This window comes from Homo sapiens, chromosome 13 (genome assembly GCF_000001405.40).
Source record: "Homo sapiens chromosome 13, GRCh38.p14 Primary Assembly".
NCBI classification, from domain to species: domain Eukaryota; kingdom Metazoa; phylum Chordata; class Mammalia; order Primates; family Hominidae; genus Homo; species Homo sapiens.
The window spans coordinates 46,978,877-46,992,834 of NC_000013.11; the positions used below are offsets into that span (position 1 = coordinate 46,978,877).

Below are 13,958 nucleotides of genomic sequence, written 5' to 3' on the forward strand. Positions count from 1 at the left end.
TGGTATTTCTAGTTCCAGATCCCTGAGGAATCGCCACAGTGACTTCCACAATGGTTGAACTAGTTTACAGTCCCACCAACAGTGTAAAAGTGTTCCTATTTCTCCACATCCTCTCCAGCACCTGTTTCCTGACTTTTTAATGATCGCCATTCTAACTGGTGTGAGATGGCATCTCATTGTGGTTTTGATTTGCATTTCTCTGATGGCCAAGGACTGGGTAATTTATAAAGGAAGGAGGCTTAATTGACTCACAGTTCTGCGTGGCTGGGGAGGCCTCAGGATGCCTATAATCACTGCAGAAGGGGAAGCAAACTCATCCTTCTTCACATGGTGGCAGCAAGGAGAAGTGCTGAGCTAAAGGGGAAAAGCCCCTTATAAAACCATCAGATCTCGTGAGAACCCACTCACTATCACGAGAACAGCATGAGGGTAACTGTCCCCATGATTAAATTACATCCCACTAGGTCCCTCCTACGACACATGGGGATTATAATAACTACAATTCAGGATGAGATTTGGGTGGGGATATAGCCAAACCATATCAGATTATAAGAGATCACTATGAACAATTATGTACCACTAAATTATGTAATCCAGGAGAAATGGATAAATTCCTAGGAATATAAAACTGTCAAGATTGAGCTATGAAGAAATAGAAAATCTGAATAAATCTATAATTTGTAAGGAGGTTGAATCAGTAATCTTCCAACAAAGCAAAACACAGAACTAGTTGACTTAACTGAATAATTCTATCAATCCTTCTCAAACTCTTCCAAAAATTATAGAGGATAGAATATTTCCAAATACACTTTTCAAAGGCCAGGATTATCCTGATAGCAAAGTCAGGCAAATACACTACAAGAAATGAAAACTCCAGGCTACTGTCTCTGATGAACATAGATGCAAAAATCCTCATAAAAATTCTAGCAAGCTGAATTCAATGGTACATCAAAAGGATCATGTACCATGACCAAGTGGGATTTTTCCCTGAGATGAAAGGATGGTTCAACATTTAAAAATCAATCAATATGATACACCACATGAACAGAACTAAGGATAAAAATTACATGATCATCTCAATAGATGCAGTAAAAACATTTGAAAATATTCAACACCTTTACAAGATTAATAAAAACATTTGAAAAAATAGGAATAAAAGAAAATTACCTCAGCATTATAAAGGCAATATATGACAAACAGCAGACGTATTCAATAGTGAAAAACTAACAGCTTTTTCTCTAAGATCAGGAAGAAGAAAAGAATGCCCATCCTCACTATTTCTATTTAACATAGTACTGGAAGTCTTAGCTAAACAAAAGAGATAAAAGGCATCTAAATCTGAAAGGAAGATGTAATATTTATTATTTCTATTCACAGATGATGTCTTATATGTAGAAACAACTCTGCCATACACACACAAACTGTTGAATAAATTCAAAGTTGTAAGATATAAAATCAACATATAAAATAAGCTCTTTTTATATGCTGACATGAACAATCTGAAAAAGATAATTAAGAAAATAATTCCACTTACAATATCAAAAAATAATCAGGACTAAACTTGACCAGGGATAAAAATACTTATCCACCGAAAATTTTAAAAACATGGCTGGAAGGAATTAAAGATACAAATAAATGGGAAGATATCCTGTGTTCATAGATTGAAAGACTTAATATTGTTAAAACACTCATCCTGCCCAAAGTAATCTACAGAATTAATGCATTCCCTATTAAAATTCCAATGCTTTTTTCTTTTCAGTAATAGGAAAACAATCCTAAAATTCATATGGGACTCCAAAGAGTCCCAGATAGCCAAAACAATCTTGAGAAAGAACAAAACTAGAGGCCTCATACTTCCTGACTTCAAAATATATTAGAAAGCTATAGTATCAGAACAGTATGCTACTCGCATAAAAACAGACATATAAAGCAATGGAACAGAATCAAGAGCCCAGGAATAAACACATCCATATACCGTCAAATGATCTTTGACAAGTGTGCTAAAATCACCAAGGGAGAAATATAGTCTCTTCAACAAATAGTGTTGGGAAAACTGGATATCCATGTTGAAAATAATGAAATTGATGGATATGTTAATTAGCTTGGTGTAATCTTTCTACAATGTATATATAGATTAAAACATTACTTTGTACCCCATAAATATACACGATTATTATTTGTCAATCAAAAATGAATAAAATTGGACCCTTATACCATATACAAAATATAGACTCAAAATGGATTAAAGACTGAAACATAGTCCTAAAACTATAAAACTAGAAGAAAACATAGGAAAAAAACTTTATGACATTGGTCTTGGCAAGGATTTCTTGAATGTGACACCAAATGTGAATGTAACACAAAAAGCCCAAGATACAACACCAAAATGGGCAAGTGAGACTACATCGAACTAAAAAGCTTTATGGCAAAGGAAACAGTCCACAGAATAAAAAGGCAACCTATGGAATGCGAGAAAATATTTGCAAACCATGTGTTTAATAAGGGATTAATAATCCAAAATATATAATAAACTCCTAAAACTCAGTGTTTAACATCCCTAAGGAATGAAAAAGCTACAAGATATCACCTCACACCTAAGACGGCCATTATAAAAAACAAATAACGAATATCAGGATATAGAGAAATTGAAACCCTTGTGTGTTTTTGGGAATGTAAAATTGTGTAGCTTCTATGAAAAATGGTGGGGTCTTTCCTCAAAAAAGACTAGGACTAACATATGATCCAGCCATCCCACTCCAGGTATTCAAATAATTCAGAACAAGGCCTCAGATAGATACTTGCACTCCCATGCTTACTGCAGCACTATTCACAATGACCAAGAGGTGGAAACAACTTACATGTTTGTAAGTGGATGAATGGATTGAGAATATGTGAAATAGAAACACATAATAGAATATTATTTAGTCTTAAGGAAATTCTGTCCCACGCTATATGGATGAATCTTGTGGGTTTTACGCTATGTGACATAAGTGAGCCACAAAAGGCCAAATATTGCATGATTCCACTTAGATGAGGTTTCTAGAACAGTCAAACTTATAGAAGCAGAAAGTAGAGTGATGGTTTCCAGGAGTGGGGAGAATGGGGAATTGCTGTTCAATGGATACAGAGTTGCAGTCATCCAAAATGAATAAGTTCAAGAGAACTGCCCTACAACAATGTGCATATAGTAAACCACACCGTTCTGTCTGTACACTGAGATTTGCTAAAAGGCTAGATTTTATGTTAAGTATTTTCTACTACTTTCTTTTTTAAAAAGAATATAGTATCCAATGGAACTGCCATCATCTGTTGCTCCTCCCACCTATCTGTACCAAATTCCTGTGAAAGGTAGAAAATAAACAAATGAACCATGTTAAATTTTGGACCTGAAGATAGATATGTTAAATGCGAACTGATTTATTGAAGCCCCTGGTTTAGGAAAACCTGTGAGTTTTTCAGTGATTCATGATATTAGTGTTCATAATGTGGATGATTACTTTTTTCAAGCAGTTTTAGATTTACAGCAATATTGAGAAGAAGGTACAAAGACATCCCATATACCCACTGCCCTCCCCTGCTGGCCTCCTCCATTATCAACACCCCCCACCCGTGTGGTACATTTGTTACAATCAATGAACATACATTGACATATCGCTATCATCACTCAAAGTTCACAGTTTATATTAGGGCTCACTCTTGCTGTTGTACATTCTATGGGTTTGAATAAATGTATAATGTCATGTGTTCACCATTAAAGTATCATACAGAGTATTTTCACTGCCTTAAAAATCCTCTGTGCTCTGCCTATTCCTTCCTCCCTATCCCCAAACCCCAGCTACCTCTGAGCTTTTGTACTGTCTCCATAGTTTTGCCTTTTTAAAACAAATTATCTTTGCTTTTGAAAAGACATAGAATAATAATTACAACATTATATATAGATGTGTATCTATGCAATATAGGGTTTCCCTGGTGTAAGGCAGTAAGAAGGGGTGAGTAAAAGTATAGAGGGAGCTAGGTCTGAAATTAGAAATAGGTGTCCTTCCCTTTTACATGGATGGAGGAGGGTGATTGGTTTTGGAACAGGAAGTTCAGGGAAGCTTCACCAGAACTTGCCTTAGCCCTTAGCATCCCTAGCCAGGTGTGTTCACTAACCCTTGTTCTGAGGAATAGCACTGTGGCAGAACAGATGTTGGCACTGGGCCCTGGTAGGTAGGGTTCTTGTCCCTCTTTTACTGGCTGGTGAAGGCACGTGGGAATAGTTCTCAAATATGGTTTTCCTGTCTGTAAAATTAGGAAACTGATTTATCAGACCTAGATTGATTGCCTGGACTTTTCATCACAGTCTCAATCTCAAATCTGAGGTTCCCTTCTCTGACTGTACATCGATTTTGGCTTTGTATATGTGGCCACTGAACTTCTCAGGTCTGTCCCAGACTGAATCTTTGATCTTTTTTCACTTCTGCAAAATGCAGGAAGCCCTTTCTTTGTTGTGGTCCCTGTGATGCAAGCTTGGTCAAAAGAAGAAAAGAGCAGAGCTGTGATAAGCTGATTTTAGCAGCAGCGCTCCATTTAGCACCAGGCTGTGTATCCCCCATGAACAGCACAGCCCACTGGGTGCTGGTGGCAGGAATGGCTTTTTGCAGAGACCAAGTGGGTCCAAATGAGAAGGGATTTTCCCATCTTGAACTCCTCTCTTCTGCTGAATTTTCACTGGGGTATAATTTGTTAGTATCTGGCATCGATCCCCCTGCAGGTCATCATACCCATTCCTTTCAGAATGTGGCTGGTAGTCATGGGCAGGGAGAGAGGGACCTTGTATGGAGTTTTGCAGACAGGGCTTCTGATCCCATATACTACAAAATCATTAAAAAACCACCTATCATGCACATGCTGTAAGGTAGGCATTGTGAAAAATGTTTTTCCGTACATTCACTCCCTTATTTTGGTCACTAAACTGCATGTTCATTATCTTTTCAACCACAGGCTTTTGTCCAACATTATAATATTGAGACCTATGGCATACCCTATACTCTTTGTTTCCATCTTCCAGATCCCGAGTCCAGCTACCAGCTCACTACACCTCTGCTGTCCTGCTGTACTTGTATCTTTAAGACACCTGTGAGACCTTTTCTGTGCTTTCAGTTTTATGTGATGGCTTGGCATGCAAACACAAGTATCTCTAGGAAGGCATTCAGGCCTTGAGAACCCTTTGGGGTGTAGTAACAGGAACTTCCTCTTGTGAATCATGCCTTTCATGTAAGAGCAGTCCTGTTAGGAGCACATTATTGACCTCTGCACCTATTCATCAGCCAGAAAGTGTTTATTTACTGAGTATATCCTGAGGTACTGAGATCATTGTCATTGCAGTGTTATTTTGGATTAAATATACATTTGTATTTTTGAAAATTTTGGCATAGTCTACTTTCCCTTGAAAAGAATAACATCAGTAATAACTGGCTGATTTAGGAATCTGTTGACTAGCTTGTCATATAATAGCTTATTTTTCCCCCTTTGAAACTGAAATAGTTGGATTTCTGTAACCTGTGGTATTTTTCTTGGGAATCATATATGTAAAGACTAAATTAGAGGTGAAACTAAGTTTAGTTTGTACATTAGATTTAATTAGTATGAAATTAATTTTAATGTTCTTTTTTTTTGAGACAGAGTCTCACTCTATTGCCTCAATTACTCCAAATTAATTTTCATCGGAACTTCAATAAACATTTTTTTTTTTTGAGACAGTCTCACTCTGTCTCCCGGGCTGGAGTGCATTGGCATGATCTCAGCTCACTGCAACCTCTGCCTCCCGGGTTTAAGCGATTCTCCTGCCTCAGCCTCCCGAGTAGCTGTGATTACAGGTGTGTGCCACTAAGCCTGGATAATTTTTGTATTTTTAGTAGAGAGGGGTTTTTGCCATGTTGGCCAGGCTGGTCTCGAACTCCTGATCTCAAGTGATCTCCCCATCTCGACCTCCCAAAGTGCTGAGATTATAGGTGTGAGCCACCATGCCTGGCACTGATAGTCTTTTGAGAGAAATGTATTTGTTCATTAAATGTAGTTCAAACAATTCTGTTTCCTCTCAAAAACATTGAATAATTTGGGGAGAAAAACTAACAGATATGTAACTATTAGAGAAGTATCAAGTGTGTTGTATGTGAATTTAAATATCATAGAGAAGGAAAGGTCAGTATAGGTTGAATGAATCTCTTTAAATTATAAACAGCCTATTCCTGCCTCTGGTTGGTTTTATACAAAATGTATTAGTTGAATTTCCCTATACTCAGACCATAGTACTGATAGCTCACCAATCTTTGATTTATAAGAATGGTAGAGGTTGTTCCTGGATTCTGCAGATACAAAACATGCCTGTACCTAATCACATTTGGTTGATAAATTCATTTAAAAAAACCAGAAATGTGAGTTATGGAATAAAAATTACCAGGAGAAATACCAAGAATAAAAAAATCTCTTATTCTTAGGAACAAACAGATAAATAGTTCCACATGCATTTTATTATTCTGTTTTCATTTGCATTCTTCATGACAGTGAGTTCTCCCCCAAAGAACCACTTAAACATCTTGAAATTTGTTATGTTTCCCATCAGTTTCTTAACTGCAAAGCTTCATCACCTCAAGTTATACTGTCCACTTCCTGTGGGAAACGTGGGCAGTAGGAGGACAATTCGAACTCAGAATTAGCTAAATTTTGCATTAGGAAAAATGGAAATCCATTTAAGATGTTTTTACTTGAACTTCATTCTGTTATTAAGCCTTACTCTGAGCCACTTTATTATACAACAATCATGCAGCTCACTACAGCTCAAAGGTTAGAAGCATGATGGAGTCCTGAAAAGGCCTCAGATATGTTATTCTGGGTGTAAATTTATGTTACACTAATTGTGAATGCAATGCTTATGTGCTTATTTGATATCTTAAACTAGCATCTTAAAGGCTTATTATATGGAGCCTTATAATTTTATACAGAACCTAGGTCAGTGATTCTCAAACCTGGACACAGGATAAACTTTTGATTCCTGGGTCCCAATCTGTAAAGATTCTGAGTCAGTGAAGCTGGATGGAGCCTGGGCATCTGCATTTTTAACAAATACTTCAGATTCTTGTAATACAATTGATCCATACTCCTTGAGAAATATTGGCTTAGATTCATGAAAATTTCAAGAGTTGAAATGATTCATTGTAATTTTTTTTTTCTTTTGAGATGGAGTCTTGCCTTATTACCTAGGCTGGGGTGCAGTGGCATGATCTCGGCTCACCGCAAACTTCACCTCCCGGGTACAAGGGATTCTCCTGCGTCAGCCTCCCAAGTAGCTGGGATTATAAGTGTGTGCCACCATGCCCAGCTAGTTTTTGTATTTTTAGAAGAGATGGGGTTTCGCCATGTCAGCCAGGCTAGTCTCCTGACCTCAAGTGATCCGCCTGCCTCGGCCTCCCAAAGTGCTGGGATTACAGGCTTGAGACAGCACAGCTGGCTGACTCATTGTAATTTATGTAAAAACAAATGATGACTTACTGGGGCTAATTGAGCCTGTATTTTTGTGATACATAAAAGATCAAGTTTAGTTCAAGTGCTTTTTACTTTTCAGCTTTGAGGTATAGTTAACAAAATAAGAATTAAGGTATACAATATGATGTTTTGATGTGTACACAGTATGAAATGATTATAAAAATCAAACTAATCAACATTTCTACAGCTTCTTATAGTTACCTTGTGTGTGTGATGAGAACATTTGAGATCTACTCACTTAGCAAATTTCAAGTATACAATACAGTATCATATAAATATAGTTACCGTGCTGTACCTTAGATCTTCAAAACGTATCCATCCAATATAGGTTAAAAAAAGAGTTATGAAAGTTTTTTTTAAAATGTGGACTATATTAATTTTCAGAGCCCTTTCACTTGGAAAACTAACTACTGTTACACTATTTACTTATAACTTTTTTTTGTATTCAAGTACTCCTTCTGAACTAAAAAGTAGATGCTATACATTTGAGCTTTGCCTATTACAAATTCACATACATTGTTTTTCCTTCTTTGTGAGGTTATTTTGTCAATTAAATGATTTCTTAGTGCCGTATGAGTTATAATAGGGTGGGTAGGTTATGCTTCAGTAACAGACGTCAAATTTTTTTTTTTAAGAACCAATCCTCCATGTCTTTTCATGGTTTCATAGCTCATTTCTTTAGTGCTGAATACTATTTCATTACATGGATGTTCTGCAGTTGATCCATCTACCTATTGAAGAAAATCTTGATTGCTTCAGCAATTATGATTAAAGCTGTTATAAACACTTGCATGCTTGTTTTTGTGTAGAAGTGCATTTTCAACTCCTTTGGGTATATACCAAGGAGCACAATTCCTGGATTATACGGTAAGAGTAAAATCTCTTATTTTTAAAGCAATTTTTTTATTTCTCAAGCTACATGTTCATCCCGAGTTGGTTTGGGTGTTCTGCTCTGTGTTATTCTCACTCAGGAACTCAGTCTCATGGGTGTCTCTCAGCTTACCATGAGTTTCCAGGATCAGCATAGTGTGAGAAGCAGGAAAAGAACTTTAGAGGGTCTTACACCAGCAAACCAATACTTAGCCTGGAAATGAGCACATCACTTTTGCTCACTGGTATCATGGCCCCACCTTCACAAAAAAGAGCCAGGAAATTGTTTTCCATTTGCCTAGAAGAAATGGTAATCGGATATCAGCAGCATCAGTAACTTTTGCATTCTGCCCATATTTTTAAATAATTTTGCTTGCTTTCCTACCTGTATATGAGGTATAGTCACCCCTCCCTGAGGATCACAACCCAAAAATCCCATTTAGTCATGGCATCAGGCTCAAAGTCTGAGATCTCTTGCATGATGCTTAGTAGACTCCAACCAGAGGTAGGGGATGGCAGTGGCCTGTACATCAGGTGTGGGTGTAAATCAGGAGATAGAGGCTATTACTGATTATACTTCCTGGGTGCAGCTCCCACTCTACTCATCCCCATAGCCCTTGGCTTTACCCTCTGGAGGTTCTTGTTGTTCTAATATCCTCTTTGGTTCCATATGAAGTAGGCATTGGGAATGTAGTCTCTTATGCTGTTAGTAGCTTTCTCAGCTTACTTCTTGCCCGTAGATGTTTGGGACTCCTAAGTTCTTTATAGGTTTCATAGTCTTTAATTATTTTTTTGGCAATTCAGTTCTCCCAATAACTTAGCTTTTTATTTATTTTAATTCAGACACTAACATGTGCCAGTAACCACACCCATAGTTCTTTCCTAGACATTTTTCTAGATTTGTTACACATGTCTTATTTTGTACCCCATTCCTGTCCGTTACTTAATTGTGGATACTCTGGGCTTATCAGGCTTCTTTGGCAGAACCATTTATTTAGTCTATTTTTTGCTGCACCATTTTCTTCCAACTGACGCAATTTCTGGGTGCCAGTGAAATCCATTCAGAGATTTTTGACTGTGGGTGAGGCAGCTAATCCCTTCATTTAATTCTTGCTGTGGTGAGAGTTTTAATTGGCATTTGTTATTCAAGACATTTCTTTACACTTTGGGCTTGGGAGCCGGCCGTCTCTTCCTAACTTAGAAGCTCCTGCATTTGTGGACTCTATTCCCTTACATTTTTGCTTGCAATGTGACTAATTCGTTCCCAGTTTCATCTCTTTCTTGTAATATCAAGTGTCACAGGTTAAATTATCCTCCCAAAAAAGGTATGTTGAAGTCCTAACTCCCAGTACTTCAGAATATGACCTTATTTGGAGATAGATCTTTACAGAGGTAATCAATTTTAAATGAGATCAGTAGGACGGGTCCTAATCTAATATGGTTGTTATTCTTTTTTTTTTTTTGAGGCAGAGTCTCATTCTGTCACCAGGCTGGAATGCAGTGGTGTGATCTTGGCTCACTGCAACCTCTGCCTCCAGGGTTCAAGTGATTCTCCTGCCTCAGCCTCCCAAGTAGCTGGGACTACAGGTACACGCCACCATGCCCAGCTCATTTTTGTATATTTAGTAGAGACAGGGTTTCACCATGTTGGCCAGGATGGTCTTGTTCTCTTGGTCTTGTGCTCTGCCCACCTCAGCATCCCAAAGTGCTGGGATTACAGGCGTGAGCCACTGCGCCTGGCCTATGGCTGGCATTCTTATAAAAAAGGGGAAACTTGGACACAGAGACAGGCATGTGTACAGAGACAGAACACCATGTGAAGACGAAGGCAGAGAAAGAGGTGATGCATCTACAAGCCAAGGAATCCCAAATATTGCCAGCAAACCACCAGGAGGTAGGAGACAGGCATGGAACAGATTCTCCTCCACAGGCCTCAGAAGGAACCAACACTGCAGACACCTTGATCCCAGATTGCTAACCTCTGGACCCATGAGATAATAAATTTCTGTTGTTTAAGCCACCAAGCTTGTGGTAGTTTGTTATGGTAGCTCTAGGAAACTAACACACCTTGTCAAATGAAGCCAATAGCAGTGAGCACATATGACTCTTCTGATTCCAAACTACTTCTACTAGAGATAAAAGTTCACTAAGTATATTATCTGCTTTCCAAATTATCATAGGTAAATAATTTTTATCAAGTGTGTCACCATTGTATGATATGGATTACCATCTTCCTAGTAACATTTTCTGCTGCATTCAGGGTTGGCTAGGTTATGTTGCTGCAACAATGCTAAAATCTCATTGCTCAAAAAGTAATGGGCTATTTCTCACCTACGTTGCCTGGAGTCTCTGCTCTCTGCTATCCTCACTCAATGACTAAGGCTGTGATAGCTCTTTTCAACACGTAATTCCAGAATCACTACAGGAATCAAAAAAGGAAAAAGAATACTTAGTCTTCACTGACAATTCAAATGCTCTACCCATTTATAACATAAGGCTAGAACTAGTCATATGTCATCATCTAACCATAAGAACAGCACAATGTGCTCAGAGGATGTCTTAGCTCAGGCTACTGTACCAAATACCACAGACTGGATCACTTAAACATTTTTTTCTTGGAGTTCTGGAGACTGAGGAGTCCAAGATCAGGATGACTGTGTGATTGGGTTCTGGTGAAATCCCAATTCTTGGCTTGCTGATGGCCATTTTCTTACTGTGTCTTTATATGGCAGAGAAAGCGAACAAGCTCCTGTGTGTTGTCTTATGAGGGCACTAATCCCATTCATGAGAACTCTACCCTCATGACCCAAGTATCTCCAAAATGCCCACCTTCTATCAATAATACCATCACACTGGGGGTTAGGATTTAATACATGAATTTTGGGGAAACATAAACATTCAGTCCATGAAAAAGGGAAAGGAAAACAATATATCAGTAACACTGATAACTACCACCAAAATACTCCCAAATTGTTGGTCTGGAAACTGCTAGTGTTTCAATTCAATCATTCATTTAACAAGTACTTTGTATGCAACACTGATAGGTGCTGGGGATAAATGAATACAGTTGAACTCCTCTATTCTTAGGGCATTTATAGTCTGGTAGAAGAGGTGGATATTCATCAAATAATGTTACACGAAATTGCAACAATGGCGATTACTACAAAGAAGAGAGATAAGATATTGGCATGCTTATAAGGAAAGGATTTGACCTACTCAGTGGGATCTAGAAAACCTGAGGAATGAAGAAGCGAAGAGGAGTAACAAGAGTTTCCAGAAAGAAGGAGCCTCATATGCAAAGGTCCTGGGGCAAGAAGGAGCTTCAGGTGGTGCTGAAGTAAAGGGGGTTAGGGACAGAACCTTTAGAGATGAGGTTGGAGTGAGAGCTAGATGACATATTCAATAAGGACTTCTAGGCCACAAGAAGGAATTTTGTCTTCATCTCAATATAAAATGGAATCAATTACAGGGTTTTATCAGGAGTTTAGCATGAGGTGGTTCTCTGCAGTTGATAGCTGATGGCTGTCTGCTGACAGTACCCTCAGCAGCTAGGTGGCAAGGCTTTCCTTGAAGGAGAACTGGGCAGTTCATCTCCAAGTCTCCCACACTCAGGCAGTATGTGGCAGAGCCAGGGCTGGAATCAGACTTGCTGAGCTCAACTTCAGTGCTTGCTTCAACTCACCCCCCAGGAATCTGGGGATCAAAGCACCAAGGTCAGAGGTGGAAAATATCGCAAAGTATAGTGAAGGACTTTGAAGAATAAGATAATAAGGGAGATGAATACAGTGACTCTTTCCCTCCAAAACAATATATTTTACAAATGGACTTTTTTTTTTTCCTCCAGGGCTTCTTCCCCCCTCTATATTCTCAGTGTCTGCCCTTTGATCTAAAATAGAGTAAACTTTCATGCAAGAACATTTGATTTTTTTCTTCAATCTGACTATTCATAACCTATTTAAAATTGATTTATAGTCTTACTGTCTTCAAATTAATTCCAGGCATAAGCCAGGAGAAGGTCATCTTCCTCACAAATTTTGCAGTTTGCCAGAGGTTTTTCCCTGCCTGGTTTAAAGGGCCAGCTTCAATTTCACTACTTTGTAGCCCCTGCCTATATGCGTGACTTTGGGCTAATTGCCCTGACCTGGATTATTGTGTACCTCGTCTTGTAGGGGATCATCTACCCTGGAAGCCATGCAGGCCTTGAAGGCAAAGATGTATAGCCACTGGCTCAGTGTTGCACCACTGAAAGAGTTGCAGTTGGGAGCTAGATTTACAGAGCCCTCATCGGAGGTGTTTCTATTAACAGCTTCAGCCTCAGTGCTCCTGGCAGAAAGAACCACGATTCAAGTATTGCCTCGCCCCTGTGCTGAGCACCACATCCCTGGAATGACTTGATTTGCTGTGAAGAGATTCCATGAACGGGTTGTCCTATCTCTCTGGGTCCCCAAACAGCTCCCTGTCTGCTCTTTCTCTCTGGTTCTTCAACCGTGATGAACTCTGGGGACCATCATCTTTATATTTTGCTAAAACTCTGGATTTAGAAAACACTGATGTGAAATTTCATTCTGCTTTGAGGTGTCTGCTGATTCACTATGGAGCTGATCTGCTATAATCTCGTGCCCTGTCATATTGTCTTTTTTTCTTAGGTATTCCTTAGTCTTCCCAGATAATCAAGCATCTTGGATTCATGGCTTTTGTTCCCTGGTAAGTGAGGCCCTATCTTTTTGCCTAGAAATATTTATATTGTACCTAGTATTGACAAAAATTTTTGAAAATTCTTTATATACTTCCATCTTTACTGTTTAAAGAATATTAAGTAAATACTTTAGGTGATGATTGGGAGCGAGATTGAGATATATATGCCAGTTCCTATAGCTGCCCTTATTTGGAGGACATAGAGATGAAAAATTACGAGGTCTAGAGCAAGATCACTTGTGTGCGAATCTTCATTCTACCACTTACTGATATTGTGGGCAAGTTACTTAGCTTTTCTAAGCCTCAGTTTTATCATCTGTAAAGCAGACATGATAATAATAAACCATGATGCAGAATTGTCTTAGGATTTTATAAGATAAGGCATGTAAAATATTTAACATGGTTCCTGGAATGTAGGAATATTAATATGTACTGCTCTGAGCATACACCACACGCTGGGCATTATGTCTTGGGTACATCACCTCTCATCTTAAAACTGTCAGGCAGCTTTGCTAAAATGTCCATAACGTACAGATGAGGAAACTGTATGTGAGTTATCTGCCCGTGGTCACAAAGCTACTAATGTGCAGAGCTGGGATTTGCATTTACATGTTTCTGACTCCAGGGGGCCAGCCTGTTTCCCCTGTGCTACAATGCCTCAAGAAGACTGGCTATTGTAGCCATTGCACAGTGCTATAAAATGGATCCTCTAAGGGCTTCTGAAATGTGTGAGGCTTGGCTTCCTTTCCACTGGGTGGAATGTGCTCTTCCACATGAAGTCTCTCACTCAACTCCCTCAGGAACATCCTTTTGTAACCTCTGTCACTGGATTCCTCATACCTCACTCTAGTCTCCTGTTGACTGCCCTT

The 13,958-nt window shown here is 38.7% G+C and overlaps 1 annotated feature.

Moving 5' to 3' along the window:
• Positions 13,607–13,666: a silencer, noted in NCBI's record as "silent region_5329". NCBI's record gives its function as "represses an Ori minimal core promoter by ATAC-STARR-seq in GM12878 lymphoblastoid cells {active_cell/tissue: GM12878}" and the evidence as "EXISTENCE:reporter gene assay evidence [ECO:0000049][PMID:35858748]".